Source organism: Homo sapiens, chromosome 4, assembly GCF_000001405.40.
Source record: "Homo sapiens chromosome 4, GRCh38.p14 Primary Assembly".
Taxonomy (NCBI): Eukaryota; Metazoa; Chordata; class Mammalia; order Primates; family Hominidae; genus Homo; species Homo sapiens.
Window position 1 is genome coordinate 98,576,517 of NC_000004.12, and position 27,050 is coordinate 98,603,566.

Consider the following 27,050-nt stretch of genomic DNA (forward strand, 5'->3'; position numbering starts at 1 on the left):
ATTGCTTGAGGTCAGAAGTTCGAGACCAGCTTGGGCAAAAAACTAAAAAATTAGCCAGGCGTGGTGGCATGTGCCTATAGTCCCAGCTACTTGGAAAACTGAGGATGGAGGGTCACTTGGGCCCAGGAAGTCCAGGCTGCAGTGAGCTGTGATGATACCTAGGCAACAAAGCAAGACCCTGTCTCAAAAAAAGGCCAGGACTAAGAATGATTTTTCTTTCAGCATACACCTATTTATTACTTTATTCTGTTTGTTTGTGTTGAGACAGTGTCTTGCTCTGTCGCCCAGGCTGGAATGCAGTGGTGCGATCTCAGCTCACTGCAACCTCCACCTCCCGTGTTCAAGTGATTCTCCTGCCTCAGCCTCCTGAGTAGCTGGGACTACAGGTACCCGCCACCACATCTGGCTAATTTTTTGTATTTTTAGTAGAAATGGGGTTTTGCCATGTTGACCAGGCTGATCTTGAACTCCTGACCTCAGGTGATCTGCCCACCTCGGCCTCCCAAAGTGCTGGGATTGCAGGTGTGAGCCACTGCACCCGGCCATATTTACTGCATTTTATTAAGTCTCCCCTCCTGGTATTCATGGAAATAGAAAATAACTGTTTTATATTCTGCTGAAAAATGAAACCCCAATCTAAAACTCAATTTGAGAAAAAATTATTCATACTTCTCTCTCATATTTCTGTTAACAGAGAAGCCAGAAGCAGTGCCATCCCTACTTTCAACCCTAAGGCTCACACATTATATTAAAGTTTTGTGAAGTACCTGGCACTTCTCATGCAGAAGTTACTGACATACTGATTTAAAATGTTTACCACCCTTAAAATTTGCCAAGAAACTTGCCAACCAGAATCTTTATTGTTTCCCCCCCTGAAACTCCAAGTCCCCTCATCATTTGCCTTCTCCCAGCCCAGAGACATCTACCTACCTTTCCCTCACAGCATCGCTCCATAATTGACCTCCAGTGAAGGACCTACCATTACATAAGTGATGTCATTTGCCAACAACTTTACCTGTGGTACCTATCAGGGTCCGTTTATTTTGGACCTGTACTGTATCAATTTTTGCTGTTTATCACATTTGACAAAAGTGTCAGCAAGTAGAAAGCAGCAATGACGAAGCCCTGAGGAAAACTGGAACACCCCAGAGAAAGAAAAGAGAAGCAATGTCACATGGCCTTTAGGAGCACTGGCTCCAGAGCCTGACTCTTTCAGCCCAAATCCAGTTCTGCTATTCACTGGCTGTGTCAATTGGCTGTGTGAGTGACTTTACCTCTCTAGAAATGGAGATACCCATAATACTAATCCTTAGGGTGTTTGTGATAATGAAAACAGATCAAGGAGGTAAACTGGGTAAAGTCCTCAGCACAGTGCCCGGCACATGGTAAACACAATAAGTATTAGCTACTTTTTAGAGATCTGTCTACCAATTCAGGAATTAAGAATTCCCTCAGAGATTCAGCATTATTAATTATACCTTAAATCTGTGTGAGTTGGCAGCATCACATTAGATCACAAGATTCAACACACATCCTATTTTTTGGCACTTATTAATTCTGGAGAGCTAATTAGAAAGTGAAAGTTATTTTAGGAAAGGAATGCAAGCAGTTATGCAGAATTAATCAATTATGCAAAGCTGTGTGGTCAGGACACAGCCCAAGTCTCACAGAACCTCCCCTTGAGACATGAACTTGCAACATGAACTGGAAACCCCATCACCTTTATCCCTGCAGAGCCAACACATCTGTGAAGGAATTCATTCACGGTACCCTTAAATACTTACATTTAAAGTGAAAGTAATCGTGGAATGATATTCAGTTTGTCTATTCACAGATGAATTCCTCTTAGCTCTTCCCCAAATAATAACTTCCCTAGACTTTTCTCCTTCTTTCATTAAGTATTTATTAGTATTTATTTTATTTTTTTGAGACAGAGTCTTGCTCTGTCGCCCAGGCTGGAGTGCAGTGGCACAATCTCGGCTCACTGCAACCTCCGTCTCCTGGGTTCAAGAGATTCTCCTGTCTCAGCTACCCCTGGGATTACAGGCACACACCACCACGCCCAGCTAATTTTTGTATTTGTAGTAAAGATGGGGTTTTGCCATATTGGCCAGGCTGTTCTCAAACTCCTGACCTCGAGTGATCTGCCCACCTCGGCCTCCCAAAGTGCTGGGCTTACAGGCATGAGCCACCTGTGCCTAGCCTATTAGTACTTATTATATGCCAAACTCTGTGCAAATTGTCTTTGGCACTATTCTCTTAGGTAGACAGTGCCACTTTTCCTCCAGATCCAAAGCAGACTCTCCCACCTCCCCAGTCCTCTCAGCCACCTTGGGAATTCTTTCCTCTAAGTTACATATGACACCTCCCTAAAGCACACCTCCCACTACACATGCCAACTGAAAGCTTCTATAGGGTAACAATGATCTATTTTTTACCTTTGTATGCCCCACACCCTTGACTGCACTAGCCTGTGTGCATTAAAACATAGATAAATATCCCCCATGTAGTTACTAATACCAAGGAAATAGGAAGACGTGCTGGATGGGGGGCTCTGGTGGGTGGCTGTCCTCCCCACAAAGCTGTTAGAGCAGAACAGGTGCTACCCGTACACCTCCAGAAAGGGCATAGTCAACTGCAACACAGCATCCACAACCATCCTCCACCCCCAAGAGCCCAGGCTGGCCGTCACGTTCTCAGCTTCACTTCAGCATCTTCCAGCATCCTCAAACACGCTCTTCTTCCTTTATCAGGAATGCCATCAATCTTCATCACAGGAAGAGAAACAATACTCACCCTCCACAAACCTATGCCCAAGTGCAGCATTTTACCTATAAACCAGAGCAAGGTACATTTCTGGAGCCCTGTACTATTCTTTTAGGTGGACAGTGAATAAGCTGAGAGAGAGTTAATATCAACCCATGCAACTGTACAGGAAGGATTCATGGTTCTGTTTTTTAAAAAGAGAGAGAGAGCTGAGTAAATGAGTGTTTAACCAAAGGACAGGGCTCTGCTTTCTATTAAGTTTGACTATTTTTTAACCATTTCTTTGAAATAACATTGTTATTATTTTTCCCACTAAAATTGTAAGATAACAAGGCAGACAAGAAAATTGCGTTACAAGAATGCACTTCAGCATTAAGGCTTTCACACACAGCTATCACTTCCCATTACCAATCCTGCTTTTCAAGAGTTTCTCTAATCCCAGCTGTCTTATGCAGCATTAGGACAGTTGGGCTTAGCTATGGAAGGCGAAAGCTCCTGACTCCTTTATTCAAGCCAGATCTTCATAAACAATGTGAAAGAGACAAAAGACAGCAAATAATTTGGTCCCAATTACTATATGAAAATTTATGTGAAATTTTTCACACATTCATATTAGATGCTGAATAGATTTTTTAAAACCCTATATACCCAAAATAATGTTTAAATTATCCTCTAAAAGAATGAACGTATCATATATATGACTATAATAGTAACTGTTTTGTGATATTTTAACAGTACTCAACAGCTTTCTCTTCTTATTAGTGATTCTCTCCATGTTTTCATCTAGGAGAAAACCTTCCATACTCATTAGTGGAGAGAAAATAGATATGTTAGTTGAAACCAAAATTTCCATTATCTTCTTTAAGCAAAATAAACTCTTGCACACCAACATTATAAACATGAACACATTTATATGTATGTTTCACACACAAAGTCTCTGAGAAACTATTTTAGGATGTGGCCACCCACCATATCAGGTCAGTGCAGATGGGGGCAGATGATGTGGACTGCACAGTTGAGTCCATCTGACCCCAACAAAACAGTTCATAGAAACATCATCTGACTCTGACTGCTCTATCCCAGCGAGGCAAGTTGTCCAGCTGACCTTTTTTACTCTTATACACACTGTGGAAAGATGAGGGTAAAATTACTCTTGGCTCAGACTTCCAGGGCAGGCAGGAAGCCCCATCTACACCAGCTTCAATCTTCCTTCACAGGGAGGTGGGTGATAGTGGAACAAGCCGACCTGGAAAAGGTTTCCCAGAGAGAAGTCAGCAAGAGAAGAGCAGACACCAGAATACCAAGATGATGGCCTTGAAGTCCAAGATGAGGAACAGGGGAGAACAAACAATTAAAAGGAAACTAGGGAGGGTGTCTAATGCATTCATAAAGAGAGTTATTTATTTGATTTTAAAGCCAAACCACAGAATGTTTAATAATTTAGCATGAAAACCTGTTTTTTTATTCAAAAATGAGAAACCTGCCACTGAGACTATTTATAATGTCAGCCAATTGGAGACCCGTACAGGAAGAAGACAGTTTCCTCTTTGCTGCCTGGGTAGGGGCTACAAAGGACAAGGCTGACAGAGTCTGATTCCTATAGTCTTTTCCCTCTCTAATTTCTGTGGAAAACAAAAGATTCTGGCTAGATCTCCACTTTCTCCTCTCTACTGCCTCTTCTCAAACCACTCCTGTTTTGGTCAAAGTTAATAACTCCAATCTGAAAGCACAGGCTGACCATTAGAAACCCCAGAGTCAATATAAAGGGGAAAAAAAAATTAACGGGAACAATCTGTTGGCACTGAGAGGCCCACCATGCACTGATATAAAAACTAGTACTCATTTGGGGGAATCCCTCCTTATTTGGCTTTCATTTTCTAGGATTTGTGCAGAATAAATGACCAAAAGATCTTTGAATAACAAATAATAAGAAATAAGTAAATTACAGAAGTGAAAAAGCCATTCTGAACACACAGCAAAATACCAATTGAGGACCGGTGGCTTGGCTGGAAACCAAGCTTAAAGGGAAAAATCTGATCCACCTCAGAACTCCCTCACTTCTATTAATAATATGTTTTACCAACCCAGCTGTATCACTACTAGATGCAAAAATGTATAATTAGAGTCAGGAAAGGTAAAAAATCACCTTAAGGAAACTCTATGCCTCAGCACTTTCTAAACGCCCCTGTCTTCTAGGCAACTCTGCTCTTGTCTCCTTGTTCTTTTATCTCAATCTTGACGGCTAATCCCTCTGCAGGGTATTAATTACTCTGTCACAATTACGTTATTCCACAAACAAGAAAAACATAATACAATGAAATCCAAAACGGATTAACTTTTTATTGATTGTATTAACAACCTAATATTCTGTGATTGCACCATTAGTACACATTTTGCTGCACATTAAAAAGAAAAGGGTAATTTCTTCCCTTTGTCTCTGATCAGCTTAACTGATTTTTTTAAAAAAACACCAGAAATATTTCAAAGTAACCTGCGCAGCCAGTAATTTGCTTATAGATGTAATTTTTGTCTAAGAGACCCTCTGCATGAAATCAAATTTCATTAGACTGACTAGAAGTTGAAGTCACTTAGGGGTATACAGTAAATGCACCTGATAGCAGTAACTTAAGCGTACTCTTAAGAATGATTCTGTATGGCAGATGCCCCCGAATGTGTTCAGAGTTCTGAGCTAGGGATCTGGAAGTGGCCACCCCAGAGATCTGTTCCTTGTCTATGAGGAACATCTGAGCTCCCGGCCCATCTCTTGTGGGACATGGGCTGTAGGGAAATGGAGGCCCCGAGTTTTGGCATGAATGAAGGTTGCCAGGTGGAATCGTTAAACAGAGTACTAAGTGAAAATGCAATATAAACTGCATAGCTTTTGCAAGTGATTGCGGTTCTCTTGTCCAGCGCATAGCCGCTGGGCCCTCTCCCCTGTATGTAAGCCCCCGACGCAACCGCATGTTGCGTTTGCTGGCTCTGGGTCACTTCTTCAGCCTCCTGAACCTGGTGCCATCCCCACTGGAGCTGACGGCACAACAGGGACCCAGAGGACAGCAGCTCAGACGCTGACCAGGATGCTGAGCCTTAACCACTCAAACTGAGGTTCTGTCTAGGATTAAGTTCACACAAAACTGCAAGGAAAAGAAACGCCCATGACATGTGCACTAATAAAGAAAATGACATAGAAAATCACGCAAAGAGATTTGCTTTCCGTTTTGACAGTCAAAACAGGCATTTGCCACACGTTGACTTGCCACAGATGTGAGCACAAATCTCATCTCCAAAAAGCTCACTGTGATCTAAACACTAGACTTCAAGTCACAAATCTCGTGGCAAATAAGTCTGCAGAACAATTGTTTGAGGAGTTCAAGCTGCTTGAAAAATGAAGTCCAAGATATCTTTCTAACAGCTTATTTTCCACATCACTGAAGTTCGGAGATGGATTCATACACTAAGTTCTTCCTCAATGCCTCCCCAGCACTGACCCCACTATATTGTAAACATGTGCCCCCCTCATTAAACTGCAAGCTCCCTGGAGGCAAGGATTATGTTGACTTTGTTCTATTAAGGCACTTATCACTGGAAAGAAGAAAAGTGAGCTTGGTACCCACAAAAGATGTCAAATAGCTGTTATGAGTTGTGAATTCCCTTTGTCAGACAAAAAGCAAAACATATTCCTTGGTACCGTATAAAAGCACTGGAGGGAGGGAAGGCAGATATACTTACCATTAGAAAATAGAACGTTGTATTTATCCATACATCACTCACCTCCTACCCTCATCCCCTCAACCCAACTTCGACTTGTCAACTGAAATAACTTAAGGCAAAGTGGGTTGGAAGTCAAAACTGTGTATGTGATTCCTCTATTTTCTACCTCATTTTATCAGTTTAGTCCGATATTTTCACTTTTATTCTTAAGAATCCAGAATAATTTTCCTTCATTTTGTCTCCCTTTTTTAGGCCCACTTATTTATTGATATAAAGCCTTTCATTTTTTTAACTTTTAAAATGCAGGTTTGTTACACAGGTAAACTTGTGTCATGGAGGTCTGTTGTACAGACTGTTTAATCACTCAGGTATTCAGCCTAGTACCCATTCGTTGTTTCTTAATCCCCTCCCTCCTCCCACCCTCCACCCTCCACCAGGCCCCAGGGTGTGATTGTTCCCCTCTATGTGTCCATGTGTTCTCAGCATTTAACGCCCAGCCTTTCTTATATCAATAATCTCTAACAGGCAAAACAGAAATTCCATTTTGATGATTAAAAGGAGGAAGAAAATTAACTTCATGGTCCTGACCCACGTTCAACTTGATAAGAGAGGAGAGAGCACTGTGTGAAGGCAAGAGCTGGTAAGCTCAGACAACAGAAAGACCGGGACTAACTCCTGCTCATCACTTCACTACACGGCCTTGGCCATGCTGCTGATCTTCACAGCATCAGGTTCCTCATGGGTGATTTGGGAATAGCAACTGGACCAAGCCTCACAGGGTGAGAAAGAAGAATAAGTGAGAGAACGCATGTAAAGTGCCCAGGAGGAGACGTGGCTCCTGCACCTGTGATTGCTATTATTCATTGCTTCCCCACTCCCTCTTCCCATCTGACATCCACTACACAGTCAATGTAGGGTTTTGTGATTTTTCACACAAATACAGAGAATCTGGAACTTTGCCATGCTTGTCCCTGGCTCCCCCTCCCTCTCCCACTCCCACCTTCCAGTCTCAAATAACCCCCCATTCCAAAGGCCAGGGGACCCTACTATATACCCTAATGCACCAGAGCTTGTTTTGAGGAAAATAAGAGGTGAGATTTTTACGGAGAGCTTCCAAATTATTTTTTCAAAGAGATGCGGTCTTTCTTTGTTACCCAGGCTGGAGTCTAGCTCCTGGGCTCAAAGGATCCTCCTGCCTCTGCCTCCTGAGTAGCTGGGACTACAGGTGTGTGCCACCACACCTGGCCTGAAATACTCTTACTAAAATAAGGACACTTGAACTAATGCCATCTTATGGGAAAGTTATTCAATCATTCCCATTATATGCAAGCAGTGAAAATACTCATTTCTTTTTATTTTAAAATGTCCAGTTACTGAATAAGCATATATGCCTAAGTATTACTGAGGTCAGAGATTGCGTACAATACTCAACTCTGTTTCCCAAGCATGTTCACAGTCCATAGTTGAATGAGCAAACAAATACACTGTCAGTGCTTGAGTCAGCAGGTAAGAAAACATTTACAAATGAGGAATGAATACACAAAAGTATTTGCAAAGATATTACACACCATCTTCTACTTATATATGTAGACTTTCCAGTTCAAAGTCATGCCCAAAATCCTGTACTGTATTTGAAAAATCATTTCCTTGCTAAAAGTCTCTTTATAAAGACTCTGTGATTGCCTCAGGCTAACTTGTTCTTATCCCAAGTTTTTAAGAGGAAAAAGCCTAAAAGACATTTTATCTCTTCATGCAATAGGCCTATCGCCACTGCAAAGCATGGTAAAAGGAACTTCAGAAAAGATGGAGTGACCAAGAGAATTGAATGTGTCTTGAATGAGAAGGCACAATTTATCCTCAGAGTGCTCAAAGTTCCACATTCAATCTAATTCCTTCTATCCACAACAAATACCACTAAGAAGGGATTTAACATTTGAGGATACACTGTGTCCTCCTTCCACCGCTTCCCAAGTAAGCTGGCTGGTGGCTGGCTTAAAGAGAATAGCATTCTTCTCACAATTTCTTCACCCAGCTTTACCTCTGACAGAACTCAAAGCAAGTGACTTATCTGTGTCAGGACTAATGTTGAAAGAGCACTAGATCTGCAGTCAAAAAACCTAATTTTTAAAAAGTTTTTTCAAAATTCTTATACATTTAGGGGGTACAAGTGCATATTTTCTGGTGTGCATATATTGCATAGCAACAAACTCTAGGCTTGTAGTGTACCCATTACCCGAATGGTGAACACTGTAACAAACAAGCAATACTTCAACGTTCAGCCTCCCACCTTTGGTAGTCTCCAATGTCTATTATTCCACTCTCTCTCTTTTTTTTTTGAGGCAGTCTTGCTCTGTCACACAGACTGGAGTGCAGTGGCGCAATCTTGGCTTACTGCGACCTCTGCCTCCGGGGTTCAAACAATTCTCCTGCCTCAGCCTCCCAAGTAGCTAGGATTACAGGCATGCACCGCCACACCTGGCCATTTTTTGTATTTTCAGTAGAGATAGGTTTTCAGCATGTTGGCAAGGCTGGTCTCAAACTCCTGACCTCAAGTGATCCACCTGCCTCAGCCTCCCAAAGTGCTGAGATTAAAGGCGTGAGCCACTGCGCCCAGCCTATTATTCCACTCTCTATGTCCATGTGTATCCATTGTTTAGCTTCCACTTGTAAGTGGGAACATGTAGTATTTTACTTTCTGTTTCTGAGTTATTTCACTTAGGATAATAGCCTCCAGTTCCATCCATGATGCTGCAAGATGTGTTAAGAAGCCTGTTTTCTAGTCTAGACTGCCCCAAACCAGATGGATGCCCTTGGCAATTTATTTCACCTCTCTGGGTGCCAATCTCCTCCACTGTGAAATGAGACACTGTAGAAGATCAGTAAAGTTCCTTGTTCTCCCAGAACTTGCAGGCTACATATTCAGGTGGGAAGATGGGCTGAAATTTTGCTCTCTAGCTGCTAACTAAATCGTATTTTTAAATTCTGCTTCTCAGACTCTTGAAAAGTTGGCCTGAGAACATAAGACACCACCAAACAATCTGGAAGAACCAGTGCTATTACAACAAAGCAATGAGAGAGTCAAGATTCCTTAAATGTAGGTCTGGAATTCAATGTCAATTGATAGCTGATCCTTTTCATGCCAGTGCTGCCAAATGTACCAGGAAAGTTCTTTAAAAGCAGACTGAAGTTTTAAGAGTCCACACTATTATTTTCTTCTTAAGTCTAGGTAAAATCCCTTCCAATTAGTTTAAAAGTAGTATTTTGAAAATGTTACCAAAATAATACATGTTTCTCACTTTTTCTCCTTCCTCTCCTTTTTCTACTAACGACTGAAGACATTTTGGGACAATCTAACCTTTCCCCATTAACTGACTTGTCTGTGTGAAGAAACCAGACTGCAGATTTGCTGTTGGCCTTGTGTAATTTCTGAGCCAGGGCATGGTTTCCAAGGTAACAAGTTAAAAAAAAAGAAGGCACAAATAGGTCTAGCACATTTAATATGTAAATGAACTAGGTCACTAAGTATTTCACTAATAGGCAAGATGATAGATTAAACCCTTCTATTCTTTTTCCTCCATTTACCCTAGGAGGAATTTATTTGGGGCTTTTACAGCAGACATAATGATTTTCCTTTGGCAATGCAGTTTCCAAAATACAAAACTCCAAAGAGAGTTTGTTACAGTTAATCAAGCGAAAAGCAGCTTCTGTTGAGGAATCTAAATGGAGAAAGGAGAGGGGGTCCTGAAGCACTGAATCTAATTCTAGACACTTGTTTTTGCAGTTCTCTTACAGATAACACACAATAGCGTGCACATGCACCCTTGCCAACTCTTCACACAGTGAGAGTTAGAGTTCCCATTCTCATATTCCCACCAAGCCAGCGGCATGCACAAGAAACTCACAGTTCTGAAGCTGGAGGAGTGACTTTGGCTTCCAAAGGGAAAAGGGGAGCCAAAGTGGTCGTGCCCTGTCCTGCCCCTTGGACAAAGGCAGGGAATTGAATGCACCGGCAGTTGGGAGGCAGGGTGGGGCAAAAGCCAAGGGTGAGGGCTGAGGGAGAGCAGCTTTTCCTTGGATGGACATCCTTCGATGGCCAGCATGCAGCGCAGCCATCACACATGCCAAGGGCTGCTTCCCAGCCTGCCTTCAGGAAAAGTGGAGGGCGCCAAAGAAGGGCATTCATAACAATGCAGTAACAAAAGCAGATAGATGCTCTGGGGGACATGGGCAGAGAAGAAGCAACAGCACTGTGTGTGCCAGTGATCCAATTAGAAAGCCCAGCTTCCACACGCAGGCTGAGGCTTCCACAGCTTAAACCCCGTGGTATCCAGACACCATGATTTCTAGAGTTCTTAGTTGCAGACAAAGCCCCACTGTGTTTTCCCGGGTGACCATGCTGCCAATTTGTCTCATACCTTCCAAAGAAGCCTAATTATTAGCTTCTTCCTCGGCTGTCTGGCTTTTTCTTAGCTCCATGAAGACTGAACATATATTTCCTCCTCTAAAGAAGGTAGGCAGGGTTGGGGAAGACAAGCAAGTCTGGAACAGAAACTCCGCCCATCCATACCCCAGTGAAGCAAGGCACATCGCCATCTCCATAAACACCAAGGTGCTGGCCGGGCGCAGTGGCTCATGCCTGTAATCCCAGCACTTTAGGAGGCTGAGGCGGGCAGATCACGAGGTCAGGAGATTGAGACCATCCTGACCAATATGGTGAAACCCTGTCTCTACTAAAATACAAAAAAATTAGCTGGGCATGGTGGTGCGTGCCTGTAGTCCCAGCTTCTCAGGAGGCTGGGGCAGGGGAATCGCTTGAACTGAGGAGGCGAAGGCAGCAGTGAGCCAAGATCATGCCACTGCACTCCAGCCTGGTGACAGAACAAGACTCCGTCTCAAAAACAGCAACAACAACAACAACAACAAAACAAGGTGCTTGGATCTGGGGCCCCAAAACCTATCCAAGTTTTCAAATAACAGTTGGTCTCTTCGGCATTTCCCTGAAGGTGTTCACTACACTTCTTGCCCTGTCCTTTCACTTTGAGTTCCTAAATGAAACCCGTCGTCGGCCATCCTCCCGCCCTGCACAGTCTATTCTGCAAACTAGATATTCTGTGTCACACTTTTCAGAGTCCTTTCATTTTCCTGTTTTGTAAAAGTGGTTGTGTCTCGGAAAGTTAAAACGAATTAACTTCATCATGGCCTGCAGGATGAAAGAGATAAAATGAAAAAGGATTAGGCTTTCAAGACATCACTGAGAAGCCTTTTAAATGAGCCAAGTGTGCCGATGTCACATGAATGGGGTGGCCAGTAACAGAGACCGCAGAAGATCACAGAAATCTGTTTCCACCGTATGTTTCGCTAAGTAAAGAAAGGACAGTGCTGGGTGTTAACTTCGGTTCAAAAAAAAAAAAAGTTAACAACATCCCTTTTCTGTTCCCAAGTCTATTACTTCTAAAAAAGATATTTTAACATTATCACTATTTTTTAAAGAATGTCTTTTCTCATCTTTTGCTTTGAATATATTTAATATAATTTATTCTCTCTTCCCATAGGTCCTTCATATTATTTCCACTCATTATTGTTGAAATCTTCCAGTTTTCTCATTATTCCCAATGCTTCAAAATAAAAGAGAAATTTAGTAAGATTAAATAATGGAAAAAGGAAGCCAAAGAATATCCAGTTACGATGTTCAAAGAGATAAGCTGGCCCTGAGGCATATTTATCTGTCCTAAAAGAACTTCACCAAAGAGAAATTTAAGCTCTACAATAACTTGTGTGTGGCCTAGAAGACTTCAAATGTTGTTTCTCTAATGTGAATGTTGAAATAATGTCATTGAGTTTACATTTAATAACATCTTACGTTTGCAGAGTGCTTTGTTTTTTAAGGTGTCTTCATTTATAACATATCATTTTATCCTTTTGATAAAAGGATAGATTAACAACCCTAGAAAGCTGGCTAGAAATTAAGCTATGATTACTGCATTCTATACATGAGAAAACTGAGGCCCAGCACAGGTTAAGGGCCTGGAAAGGGACACACAGCAGAAATGTGACAGTGTTGGAACCAGACTCCACACTCCTGATCCCTAATCCAGGGCTCCTGCTTCAACACCTTCCTCTTTGATGCTCTCTACGTGTGAAGAAAGTTCACCCTAGATTAGTACATGCTGGAAACAAGTGGAAACAAGACCTAGGTTATCCTTAATGCCAGACAGTTGTATTCTGCCACACTGTGAATTCCAGGATAGCAAGCACTGGTCAGCAAATTGGCGCAAACATATATTTGCATTATAATATTTCTTATGGGTCAATTAATCTCCTGGAACTAAGAACAATCCTGGTCTGGAAGCATGACTGAGACCCAGATGTCAGTGCTTAACAGCTGCATTACTGGCCTGACTTAGAGAAGAGGCCGGAAATACTCCCAGAGTTGTTCACTTAAGGCCTGTGATGATGGCCCTAGCAGACAAAGGAAAGGGAAGGAGGGCAATTACCAGAGAACTTAATTCCCTATAAACACCAATTGGAGTGACTGATGAGGGCATGAGGGGCACCTTTCTTTCCTCCTTAGCAGGATTCTTTACATTAACTGGATAATTGCTTCTTTTCTCCAACTGCCTAGACCCACAACCCGGAACTGGCACGCCAGCTACGCGCAGACTACCAGAATTAGGTTCAAAACAGAAACAGCAACAATGTAATTAAGCTTTTTACAAACATGATACCATGGCACAAAATTTTTCATTACCTTGTGTTAATGAAAACCATTTTCTCTGACCAACGCGTAAAATGTTGGAGCAAAATAAACTGAATCGTCTATCTGGTGTTGCAGTGTCAGTGCAGGCCTAGCATGGGAATGTCTCTGTGGAAGGTGGTGGGGTTTTTCTCCCCTTTTTCTCTTTAAAGAATCTGCTGAGTTATTTCAATAGCACTTCTAGCTCTATTTACATAGTCACACTACCTCTCTCCTGTGCTGTAATTACAGGAAAGGTGCTACCAATGATCAGATTTACTTTCAGTATCCCATCCTACTGTACGAAATTCCAGTCACATCACTGCATATCACAAAGACATGCTGCAAAGGTACACAACACAGACCATGAAATGAAACGGCACTACCCCCACTTCAAAAGGTACCTTTAACAAAAACCATCTGCTAAAGATGGTCCCAAACTCTTATCATCTGATTCTCATATTCAATTTATAAAATGAATAGGGTGCTGCTAGGCATACAATTTATGTGAAATAGGGACCTGAGCCAGGAAGCTGCCCAATAAAGGAAGGAAATGAACTCAGGTTTACCAAGTGCCTATGATGTGCCAGGCACAACACCTATGACTCTCACTTATTTCATCTCATCTAATTTTCCAGAAAACTCTGTAAAGTGGATATTCCCATCTTACAGGTGAGGACACTAAGGCTCAAGAGATGAATTGGCCAGGCGTGGTTGCTCACTCCTGTAATCCCAGCACTTTGGGAGGCCGAGGTGGGCAGATCACGAGGTCAGGAGATCGAGACCATCCTGGCTAACACGCTGAAACCCCGTCTCTACTAAAAATACAAAAAATTAGCCAGGTGTGGTGGCATGTGCCTGTAGTCCCAGCTACTCAGGAGGCTGAGGCAGGAGAATCACTTGAATCCGGGAGGCAGAGGTTGCAGTGAGCCGAGGTTGCATCACTGCACTCCAGCCTGGGCGACAGAGCGAGACTGTCTCAAAAAAAAAAAAAAAAGAGAGAGAGAGAGATGAATTAACTTGTCCGAGGTCACAGTGCTGATCAGTGTCATGTTCTGAACACAGGTCAACTGAACTCCAAGACTAGTCTATTATCAGCTCACTAAGACCCCACAAGGGTGAAATGGCTCCTTTAGCCTAATTACCAGCATTAAGATAACCATCCATCCACACAGGAACCTGAGAAGGCAAGCAGGAACACACACTTTGGGTACCTGTAATCAGTAAACCTCAAAGACTGGTGTGTACATCAAGTAGGAAACCAACTTCCCTAACTCTTGGTTCCCAGTCATAGCCCAATAGAAATGAGCAACTTTGCCCTGCCATGCTTTTCCTTTTTTTTGTTTTTTTGTTTTTTTTTTTTAATAAGTGAAAACTGCTTTTATTTACAGACATATTTTTTTTAGGTAGGAAGTTCTAAAGTGTCAACAAAATAACATACCAGAGCTAGTAAACACTTTCAATAAGTTGCAGAATATACCAGGCCAATACGCAAAATTCAATTATTTATATAAGTTGCAATGAACAATTAAAAACTAAAACATGAAAAACAATACCATTAATAACAGCACGCAAAAACCTGAAGTACTTAGGAATAAATTTAACAAAGTACATGCAAGAACTGTACACTAATACCTGTTTAGATAAATAAGACACTTAATAATACACTTTTAAATTCATTTTTTGTTAAGAATACTAAATACTATTTATTTGACAATTATCTCCAAATTGATCTATAGTTATTTTGTTCAGTATGGTATCCATGAGCCACATGAGGCTACTAAACACTTGATATGTGGCTAGTCTGAATCTTAATTCAGACTAAGGTGACTAAGGTGTGCTGTAAGTGTAAAAACACACCAGATTTCAATGACTTAGTACAAAAAAAGAATAAAATATCATATCAATGTTTTTATATTGATTACAGGTTGATGTTTTCATATATTGGGGTAAATAAAATAATTATTAACATTAATTTCATGGTTTTTTTTCTTTTTAATGTGTCTACCAGAAATATTTAAATTACATGTGCTTACATATTTTGACATGCATTACGTTCCCATTAGTCATCATTTATCTATAAGTTTAATGCAATTCCAATCAAAACTGCCACAGGGCTTTTGCTAAATCTTGACAAACTATAAAATTTATGTGAAAATGGTAAGAACCAAAAATAGCCAAAAGAATTTTTAAAAAGAACAATGTTGAAGGACTTATACTCCCTTATTTAAAGATTTATTATAATGCTACAGTAATCAAGACAGTGTGGTATATGGCCAAGAGATCAATGGAACAGAATGGAGAATCCAGAAATTGACCTACACACATATCCTCGATTTTTAACAAGATATGATAGTAATTCAATAAAGAAAAGATACACTTTTCAATAAATAGTGTTATAACAACTAGATAGCCACATGGAGAACAAATGAACCATTACCTTTATCTCATGCCATACGGAAACGTTAATTTGAAAGAGTTCAGAGAACTGTTAAACAAAGTGGAAGAGAAGCCATTGTTTAGGGCTGAGGCTGTGCTCTAGGCCCCAAAAGACCAGACAGAACCAGTATGGAATCGCTCCTGTTCGGTGCCACATAATGAAACTGAACTTCAAAATGAGCCAGTATTCAAAAAACCAGGAGATTCACAGCAACCAATCAGAAAGGGCCTGGTTTACCTAACTAAGGGATCTCTGTTTTTTGTTTTTTTTTTTTTTTTTTTTATTATACTCTAAGTTTTAGGGTACATGTGCACATTGTGCAGGTTAGTTACATATGTATACATGTGCCATGCTGGTGCGCTGCACCCACTAATGTGTCGTCTAGCATTAGGTATATCTCCCAATGCTATCCCTCCCCCCTCCCCCGACCCCACCACAGTCCCCAGAGTGTGATATTCCCCTTCCTGTGTCCATGTGATCTCATTGTTCAATTCCCACCTATGAGTGAGAATATGCGGTGTTTGGTTTTTTTGTTCTTGCGATAGTTTACTGAGAATGATGGTTTCCAATTTCATCCATGTCCCTACAAAGGATATGAACTCATCATTTTTTATGGCTGCACAGTATTCCATGGTGTATATGTGCCACATTTTCTTAATCCAGTCTATCATTGTTGGACATCTGGGTTGGTTCCAAGACTTTGCTATTGTGAATAGTGCCGCAATAAACATACGTGTGCATGTGTCTTTATAGCAGCATGATTTATACTCATTTGGGTATATACCCAGTAATGGGATGGCTGGGTCAAATGGTATTTCTAGTTCTAGATCCCTGAGGAATCGCCACACTGACTTCCACAATGGTTGAACTAGTTTACAGTCCCACCAACAGTGTAAAAGTGTTCCTATTTCTCCACATCCTCTCCAGCACCTGTTGTTTCCTGACTTTTTAATGATTGCCATTCTAACTGGTGTGAGATGATATCTCATAGTGGTTTTGATTTGCATTTCTCTGATGGCCAGTGATGATGAGCATTTTTTCATGTGTTTTTTGGCTGCATAAATGTCTTCTTTTGAGAAGTGTCTGTTCATGTCCTTCGCCCACTTTTTGATGGGGTTGTTTGTTTTTTTCTTGTAAATTTGTTTGAGTTCATTGTAGATTCTGGATATTAGCCCTTTGTCAGATGAGTAGGTTGCGAAAATTTTCTCCCATGTTGTAGGTTGCCTGTTCACTCTGATGGTAGTTTCTTTTGCTGTGCAGAAGCTCTTTAGTTTAATTAGATCCCATTTGTCAATTTTGTCTTTTGTTGCCATTGCTTTTGGTGTTTTGGACATGAAGTCCTTGCCCACGCCTATGTCCTGAATGGTAATGCCTAGGTTTTCTTCTAGGGTTTTTATGGTTTTAGGTTTAACGTTTAAATCTTTAATCCATCTTGAATTGATTTTTGTATAAGGTGTAAGGAAGGGATCCAGTTTCAGCTTTCTACATATGGCTAGCCAGTTTTCCCAGCACCATTTATTAAATAGGGAATCCTTTCCCCATTGCTTGTTTTTCTCAGGTTTGTCAAAGATCAGATAGTTGTAGATATGCGGCATTATTTCTGAGGGCTCTGTTCTGTTCCATTGATCTATATCTCTGTTTTGGTACCAGTACCATGCTGTTTTGGTTACTGTAGCCTTGTAGCATAGTTTGAAGTCAGGTAGTGTGATGCCTCCAGCTTTGTTCTTTTGGCTTAGGATTGACTTGGCAATGTGGGCTCTTTTTTGATTCCATATGAACTTGAAAGTAGTTTTTTACAATTCTGTGAAGAAAGTCATTGGTAGCTTGATGGGGATGGCATTGAATCTGTAAATTACCTTGGGCAGTATGGCCATTTTCACAATATTGATTCTTCCTACCCATGAGCATGGAATGTTCTTCCATTTGTTTGTGTCCTCTTTTATTTCCTTGAGCAGTGGTTTGTAGTTCTCCTTGAAGAGGTCCTTCACATCCCTTGTAAGTTGGATTCCTAGGTATTTTATTCTCTTTGAAGTAATTGTGAATGGGAGTTCACCTATGATTTGGCTCTCTGTTTGTCTGTTGTTGGTGTATAAGAATGCTTGTGATTTTTGTACATTGATTTTGTATCCTGAGACTTTGCTGAAGTTGCTTATCAGCTTAAGGAGATTTTGGGCTGAGACGATGGGGTTTTCTAGATAAACAATCATGTCGTCTGCAAACAGGGACAATTTGACTTCCTCTTTTCCTAATTGAATACCCTTTATTTCCTTCTCCTGCCTGATTGCCCTGGCCAGAACTTCCAACACTATGTTGAATAGGAGCCGTGAGAGAGGGCATCCCCGTCTTGTGCCAGTTTTCAAAGGGAATGCTTCCAGTTTTTGCCCATTCAGTATGATATTGGCTGTGGGTTTGTCATAGATAGCTCTTATATTTTGAAATACGTCCCATCAATACCTAATTTATTGAGAGTTTTTAGCATGAAGGGTTGTTGAATTTTGTCAAAGGCTTTTTCTGCATCTATTGAGATAATCATGTGGTTTTTGTCTTTGGCTCTGTTTATATGCTGGATTACATTTATTGATTTGCGTATATTGAACCAGCCTTGCATCCCAGGGATGAAGCCCACTTGATCATGGTGGATAAGCTTTTTGATGTGCTGCTGGATTTGGTTTGCCAGTATTTTATTGAGGATTTTTGCATCAATGTTCATCAAGGATATTGGTCTAAAATTCTCTTTTTTGGTTGTGTCTCTGCCCGGCTTTGGTATCAGAATGATGCTGGCCTCATAAAATGAGTTAGGGAGGATTCCCTCTTTTTCTATTGATTGGAATAGTTTCAGAAGGAATGGTACCAGTTCCTCCTTGTACCTCTGGTAGAATTCGGCTGTGAATCCATCTGGTCCTGGACTCTTTTTGGTTGGTAAACTATTGATTATTGCCACAATTTCAGAGCCTGTTATTGGTCTATTCAGAGATTCAACTTCTTCCTGGTTTTGTCTTGGGAGAGTGTATGTGTCAAGGAATGTATCCATTTCTTCTAGATTTTCTAGTTTATTTGCGTAGAGGTGTTTGTAGTATTCTCTGATGGTAGTTTGTATTTCTGTGGGATCGGTGGTGATATCCCCTTTATCATTTTTTATTGTGTCTATTTGATTCTTCTCTCTTTTTTTATTAGTCTTGCTAGCGGTCTATCAATTTTGTTGATCCTTTCAAAAAACCAGCTCCTGGATTCATTGATTTTTTGAAGGGTTTTTTGTGTCTCTATTTCCTTCAGTTCTGCTCTGATTTTAGTTATTTCTTGCCTTCTGCTAGCTTTTGAATGTGTTTGCTCTTGCTTTTCTAGTTCATTTAATTGTGATGTTAGGGTGTCAATTTTGGATCTTTCCTGCTTTCTCTTGTAGGCATTTAGTGCTATAAATTTCCCTCTACACACTGCTTTGAATGCGTCCCAGAGATTCTGGTATGTGGTGTCTTTGCTCTCGTTGGTTTCGAAGAACATCTTTATTTCTGCCTTCATTTCGTTATGTACCCAGTAGTCATTCAGGAGCAGGTTGTTCAGTTTCCATGTAGTTGAGCGGCTTTGAGTGAGATTCTTAATCCTGAGTTCTAGTTTGATTGCACTGTGGTCTGAGAGATAGTTTGTTATAATTTCTGTTCTTTTACATTTGCTGAGGAGAGCTTTACTTCCAACTATGTGGTCAATTTTGGAATAGGTGTGGTGTGGTGCTGAAAAAAATGTATATTCTGTTGATTTGGGGTGGAGAGTTCTGTAGATGTCTATTAGGTCTGCTTGGTGCAGAGCTGAGTTCAATTCCTGGGTATCCTTGTTGACTTTCTGTCTCGGTGATCTGTCTAATGTTGACAGTGGGGTGTTAAAGTCTCCCATTATTAATGTGTGGGAGTCTAAGTCTCTTTGTAGGTCACTCAGGACTTGCTTTATGAATCTGGGTGCTCCTGTATTGGGTGCATAAATATTTAGGATAGTTAGCTCCTCTTGTTGAATTGATCCCTTTACCATTATGTAATGGCCTTCTTTGTCTCTTTTGATCTTTGTTGGTTTAAAGTCTGTTTTATCAGAGACTAGGATTGCAACCCCTGCCTTTTTTTGTTTTCCATTGGCTTGGTAGATCTTCCTCCATCCTTTTATTTTGAGCCTATGTGTGTCTCTGCACGTGAGATGGGTTTCCTGAATACAGCACACTGATGGGTCTTGACTCTTTATCCAACTTGCCAGTCTGTGTCTTTTAATTGCAGAATTTAGTCCATTTATATTTAAAGTTAATATTGTTATGTGTGAATTTGATCCTGTCATTATGATGTTAGCTGGTGATTTTGCTCATTAGTTGATGCAGTTTCTTCCTAGTCTCGATGGTCTTTACATTTTGGCATGATTTTGCAGCGGGTGGTACCGGTTGTTCCTTTCCATGTTTAGTGCTTCCTTCAGGAGCTCTTTTAGGGCAGGCCTGGTGGTGACAAAATCTCTCAGCATTTGCTTGTCTATAAAGTATTTTATTTCTCCTTCACTTATGAAGCTTAGTTTGGCCGGATATGAAATTCTGGGTTGAAAATTCTTTTCTTTAAGAATGTTGAATATTGGCCCCCACTCTCTTCTGGCTTGTAGGGTTTCTGCCGAGAGATCCGCTGTTAGTCTGATGGGCTTTCCTTTGAGGGTAACCCGACCTTTCTCTCTGGCTGCCCTTAACATTTTTTCCTTCATTTCAACTTTGGTGAATCTGACAATTATGTGTCTTGGAGTTGCTCTTCTCGAGGAGTATCTTTGTGGCGTTCTCTGTATTTCCTGAATCTGAACGTTGGCCTGCCTTGCTAGATTGGGGAAGTTCTCCTGGATAATATCCTGCAGAGTGTTTTCCAACTTGGTTCCATTCTCCACATCACTTTCAGGTACACCAATCAGACGTAGATTTGGTCTTTTCACATAGTCCCATATTTCTTGGAGGCTTTGCTCATTTCTTTTTATTCTTTTTTCTCTAAACTTCCCTTCTCGCTTCATTTCATTCATTTCATCTTCCATTGCTGATACCCTTTCTTCCAGTTGATCGCATCGGCTCCTGAGGCTTCTGCATTCTTCACGTAGTTCTCGAGCCTTGGTTTTCAGCTCCATCAGCTCCTTTAAGCACTTCTCTGTATTGGTTATTCTAGTTATACATTCTTCTAAATTTTTTTCAAAGTTTTCAACTTCTTTGCCTTTGGTTTGAATGTCCTCCCGTAGCTCAGAGTAATTTGATCGTCTGAAGGCTTCTTCTCTCAGCTCGTCAAAATCATTCTCCATCCAGCTTTGTTCTGTTGCTGGTGAGGAACTGCGTTCCTTTGGAGGAGGAGAGGCGCTCTGCGTTTTAGAGTTTCCAGTTTTTCTGTTCTGTTTTTTCCCCATCTTTGTGGTTTTATCTACTTTTGGTCTTTGATGATGGTGATGTACATATGGGTTTTCGGTGTAGATGTCCTTTCTGGTTGTTAGTTTTCCTTCTAACAGACAGGACCCTCAGCTGCAGGTCTGTTGGAATACCCTGCCGTGTGAGGTGTCAGTGTGCCCCTGCTGGGGGGTGCCTCCCAGTTAGGCTGCTCGGGGGTCAGGGGTCAGGGACCCACTTGAGGAGGCAGTCTGCCCGTTCTCAGATCTCCAGCTGCGTGCTGGGAGAACCACTGCTCTCTTCAAAGCTGTCAGACAGGGACACTTAAGTCTGCAGAGGTTACTGCTGTCTTTTTGTTTGTCTGTGCCCTGCCCCCAGAGGTGGAGCCTACAGAGGCAGGCAGGCCTCCTTGAGCTGTGGTGGGCTCCACCCAGTTCGAGCTTACTGGCTGCTTTGTTTACCTAAGCAAGCCTGGGCAATGGCGGGCGCCCCTCCCCCAGCCTCGTTGCCGCCTTGCAGTTTGATCTCAGACTGCTGTGCTAGCAATCAGCGAGATTTCGTGGGCGTAGGACCCTCTGAGCCAGGTGTGGGATATAGTCTCGTGGTGCGCCATTTCTTAAGCCAGTCTGAAAAGCGCAATATTCGGGTGGGAGTGACCCGATTTTCCAGGTGCGTCCGTCACCCCTTTCTTTGACTCGGAAAGGGAACTCCCTGACCCCTTGCGCTTCCCAGGTGAGGCAATGCCTCGCCCTGCTTCGGCTCGCGCACGGTGCGCACACACACTGGCCTGCGCCCACTGTCTGGCACTCCCTAGTGAGATGAACCCGGTACCTCAGATGGAAATGCAGAAATCACCCGTCTTCTGCGTCGCTCACGCTGGGAGCTGTAGACCGGAGCTGTTCCTATTCGGCCATCTTGGCTCCTCCCTCCTGTTTTTTTTTTGAGACAGTGTTTCTTTTCACTTCTGTCACCCAGGCTGCAGTGCAGTGGCGCGGTCTGTGCTCACTGCAACCTCCACCTCCCGGGCTCAAGCAATTCTCCCACCTCAGCCTCCCAAGTAGCTGGCACTACAGGTGCGTGCCACTATACCCAGCTAATTTTTGTTTTTGTAGAGATGGGGTTTCACCATGTTGCCCAGGCTGGTCTTGAACTGCCAAGCTCAAGCGATCCATCCACCTCAGCCTCAATCTCCCAAAGTACTGGGATTACAGGCATGAGCCACCGTGCCTGGCCCCTCCTAAATTTTTTATGTGCCTTAGTTTCAGGTATTTGAGAGAGAGTCTCATTTTCTACGTTCAAAGGCAGGAATAACAGGAACTTCAGAGTTATTGAACATAAAAGACTCAGGAGAAGAGGAAAATGCACCAGAAAGTAATTCTGTTCTGTTGTTATTTATACTCCTTAAACAATAAAAGGACAAAGTTTGCCAAAGAGCAACAGGAAAATCCTGTTAAAACATACACTTCAAAAAATCTCCAAGAGCTTTCTGAAAATAACACACAATCCAGAGGCTATTTAGAAAGAAGCAAAATGGACAAATAATATAAAAGTGCGAAATAACCCCCAATTTCATATAGATTATAATCTAAAAAGCCATTTTAATTTTTTTTTATTTTTGTTTTTAGAGACAGGGTCTCACAGTTTCACCCAAGCTGGAGTGCAGTGGCATAATCATAGCTCACTGTAGCCTCCAACTCCTGGGCTCAAGGGACCCTCCTGCGTCAGCCTCCTGAGTAGGTAAGACTACGTGCACATGCCACCATGCCCAGCAAAAGTCATTTTTAAACTGGTCTTTTCAAACTTGGAAAGTCAAATCTAAAGAAACAAGGTCATAATCAGCAGTAAAATTTACAAGAAGCACCACAAATGTCTTTACTTTTTAAAAGAAACTTTTTAAAAAAATTCAACTTTGAGGTATAATTTACATAAAATAAAATATATTCATTTTGCATTACCATTAAGTGTGTTTTGACAAATGCATCCAACCATGTAACCATCCCCACAATCAAAATATACAGCATTCCCACCACCCCAAAAAGTTCCCTTGTTAGTACCCCCATGTCAAACTCCAGAAAACCACTGATTTGCTTTCTGTACCTACAGACTAGTTTTGCCTGTTCCAGAACTTCATATGAATGAACATTGTATGTGGTCTTCTGAGTTTTATTCCTTTGACTGCACAATTTTTCTGGAATTCATGCATGCTGTTGTATGTATCTGTAAATTTGTTCCCTTTTGTTGCTGAGTAGTATTCCATTTTATGGATATACCACAATTTGTTTAACCATTCACTAGGTGATGGATTCTTGGGTTGTTTCCAGTTTTTGGCCACTGTGAATAATGTTGCTATGAACATTCACATACAAGTCTTTTTTGTGGACATGTTTTAACTTATCTTGGGTAACTACTAAATGGTTTTCCAAAATAATCACACTACAGATATATCTTGGAGATATGCAGGTTCCATTCTAGACCACAGTACTAAGGCAAATATTGCAATAAAGCGAGTCACACAATTTTTTTCTCAGTACACATAAAAGTTATATTTATACTATACTGCATCTAGTAAGTGTGCAATGCCATCATGTCTAAAAAATGTACATACCTTAATTTAAAAATACTTTATAGCCAAAAATGCTGAAAATCATTTAAGCCTTTAGCACATCGTAATCTTTTTGCTGGTGGGGGGCCTTGCCTCAATGTTGATGGCTGCTGACTGATGACGGTGGTGGCGCTGAAGGTTGGGGTGGCTGTGGCAATTTCTTAAAATAAGACAACAATGAAGTTTGCAGCATTGATTGACTCTTCCTTTCACAAAAGATTTCTCTGTAACATGTTATGCTGTCAGATGGCATTTTACTCACAGTAGAACGTCTTTTGAAACTGGAGTCAATCTTCTCAAACCCTGTTTTATCAACTAAGTTTATGGAATATTCTAAATCCTTTGCTGTCGTTTCAACAATGTTCACAGCATCTTCACCAGGAGTAGACTTCATCTCAGGAAACCACTTTCTTTGTTCCTCCATAAGATGCAACTCCTCATCCATTCAAGTTTTATCATGAGATTGTGGCAATCAGGCCCATCTTCAGGTTCCACTTCTAATTCTAGTTCTCTTGCTATCTGTATCACATCTGCTGTACCACATCCACTAAAGTCTTGGATCCCTCAAAGACATCCATGAGGGTTGGAATCAACTTCTCCCCAACACCAGTTAATATTTATATTTGTACCTCCTCCCATGGATCATGAAGGACCTTAATGGCATCTAGAATGATGACTTCTTTCCTGGTTTTCAATTTCCTTTGCCCATATCAATCAGAGGAATCACTATATAGTCTATGGCAGCATTAGAAAATGTATTTCTTAAATAATAAGACTTGAAAGTCAAATTCCTCCTTGATTCATGGACTACAGAATGGATGTTTTGTTAGCAAGCATGAAAGCAAATTAATCTCCTTGTACTATAAGAGCTCTTGGGTAACCAGGTACATTATCACACTGGAACAGTAATATTTTGGAAAGGATCTTTTTTATAAGCAATAAGTCTCAACAGTGGCCTTAAAATATTCAGTAAACCAGGCTATAAACAGATGTGCTGTCATCTGGGCTTTGTTGTTCCATTTATAGAGTCAGCATCATTCTTAAAGGCCCTAGGATTTTCGGAATGGCAAATGATCATTGGCTTCAACTTAAAGACACCAGCTGCATTAGCCCCTAACAAGGGAGTCAGCCTGTCATTTGAAGCCAGGCACTGACTTCTCCTCTCTAGCTATGAAAGTCTTGGATGGCATCTTCTTCCAATAGCAGGCTGTTTCATCTACATCAGAAATTTGTTGTTTAGTGTAGCCACCTTCATCAATTATCTTAGCTAGATCTTCTGGATAACTTGCTGAAGCTTCTACATGAGCACGTGCTGCTTCACCTTGCGCTTTTATGTTATGAAGATGGCTGCTTTCCTTAAACCTCATGAACCAACTTTGGCTAGACTCCGGCTTTTCTTCTGTAGTTTTTTTCTCCTCTCTCAACCTTCACAGAATTGAAGACAGTTAGAGCCTTGCTCTGGATTAGGCTCTTGTTTAAGGAGTGTTGTGGCTGGTTTGATCTTCTATTTAAAACTTTCTCCATATCAGCAATAAGACTGTTTTGCTTTCTTATCATTCATGGGTTCACTGGAATAGCACTTTCAATTTCCTTCAATAACTTTTCCTTTGTATTCACAACTTGGCTAATGGTTTGGCCCAAGTTTTTTGGTCTATCTCAGTTCTCACCATGCCTTCCTCACTAAGCTTAATCATTTGTAGCTTTTGATTTAAAGTGAGAGACATGTGACTCTTCCTTTCACTTAAACACTGAGAAACCATTACTCATCAGCCTAATTTCAATATTGTTGTGTCTCAGGGAATACGGAGGCCTGAGGAGGAGAGACAAGAATGGCCAGTCGGTGGAGCAGTGAGAACACACACATTTATTAAGTTTGCCTTCTTACATGGGCGTGGTTCATGTCACACCAAAACAATTACAATAGTAACATCAAAGATCACTGATCACAGATCACCATAACAGATATAGTAACAATGAAAAAGTATGGAATGTCGTGAGAATTACCAAAATGTGACACAGAGACATGAAGTGAGCACATGCGATTGGAAAAATGGCACTGATACTCTTGCTCCATGAAGGGTTGCCACAAACCTTCCATTTGTTAGGAAGCAAAAACCCAAAAACCAAAAACATAATATATGTGAAGAGCAATAAAGTGAAGCACAATAAAACAAAGCATTCCTGTGATTAATGGTAAAAATTAAAGGTTGACCCACAAATGTCTTTTTAATCTGCAGCATGTCTGATACGATCACTATTGGTCTGATAAGGAGGAAGCCTGTGGTATAAGAAGGTTATTGAGAATTTCCTCTCCTTTTTTGGCAAAACCAGAAACACTTTACTCATTTCAAAATTTCTTTTTGACAAAGCCTCACTTACCTCTCTTCCACTCCCTCTTCTCCACAGATGCCTAGGTACTCACAGCTCTCATATCAACCCTACTCTAAATCCCTGAGGAAGCTACAGAACCTGGCCTACCCTCATTTGAAGTGTTCTGTTTCCAAAACTACATTTTTCTCCTTTCCCTCTCTTCTTCCCCTACAATCAACGCTTTTGCCCTGCGACAGAATTGCTCATGCAGAAGATTAGGAAAGCAAGCTGATTAAATAGACATTTATGCAAGGGACTGGTAACCCCTTTAAATGAAGATGCTCAAACACGGGTGCAAGAGATGGCTGTCTCCATAATTCTACAATGCTGCTCTTCTTCCAAACAGGCTCCTAACACATATGACATACAGCAATGCAATAAAGTGAAGTGAAATAATACCAGGTATAATAGCAATGAAAAAGTTTGGAATATGGCGAGAAGGTGGCTGTATGCTGTAAAGTGGGGAAAATTTTACTTTACCACTGTAGTGTGGGAAGTTTACTGTATTTACAGTCTAGACCTACCTAGCCAAATTCTCTGTCCCTCAATGTTATGCCTGCTTTTCACAGCTTCTTTCCTTCTTCTATACCTTTGAACTCAAAAATTCTCAAAAGTCTCAGGTTCTTTTCATTAGAACCCATAGTAACAGTGGTGGCAAGGAGATGTCATTTGTAGACTGCATATCGCCATCTGTACTACAGTAAGCTCTCTAATCATTTTACCTACTAGTTCCTTTAGACTCCCCCCTACCAGGCACTTTGCTTTACAGCTTTGTCAATCCTAGGAACAAATACAGACATCCTTTGCTGAGGAACATCTCCCCACCATATCACTGATATCACACATGTTCATGATGTTGCTAAAGGACATTTACCCTGGGCCTTTTATAAAAGATCAGATTTCTCAAGTATAAAAGCAATTTTGCTATCAAAACAAATCTGTTGTCAATACATTTTGAGGCTAATACCATGATTAGTTGGCCAGCTCAAACTAGCGCATGGAAGAAAAACAAAATCAGTGCCTTGGATACACCAATGCCACTGTGGTGTTTGTCTTCTGC

General features: G+C 41.2%; 1 protein-coding gene across 7 annotated transcripts in view, besides 2 other annotated features; it reads right to left on the reverse strand.

Moving 5' to 3' along the window:
• The window catches only part of TSPAN5 (tetraspanin 5), a 188,245-nt gene that overhangs the window by 106,150 nt on the left and 55,045 nt on the right, over positions 1–27,050 (reverse strand). The gene's annotated exons all lie outside the window — the stretch shown is intronic.
• Positions 7,782–8,076: an enhancer, noted in NCBI's record as "tiled region #11258; HepG2 Activating DNase matched - State 9:DNaseU". NCBI's record gives its function as "activates a minimal TATA promoter and a strong SV40 promoter by Sharpr-MPRA in HepG2 cells {active_cell/tissue: HepG2}" and the evidence as "EXISTENCE:reporter gene assay evidence [ECO:0000049][PMID:27701403]".
• Positions 21,069–21,667: an enhancer, noted in NCBI's record as "NANOG-H3K27ac-H3K4me1 hESC enhancer chr4:99518736-99519334 (GRCh37/hg19 assembly coordinates)". NCBI's record gives its function as "activates a minimal SCP1, AML or CMV promoter by ChIP-STARR-seq in primed H9 embryonic stem cells {active_cell/tissue: H9 hESC(primed)}" and the evidence as "EXISTENCE:reporter gene assay evidence [ECO:0000049][PMID:30033119]".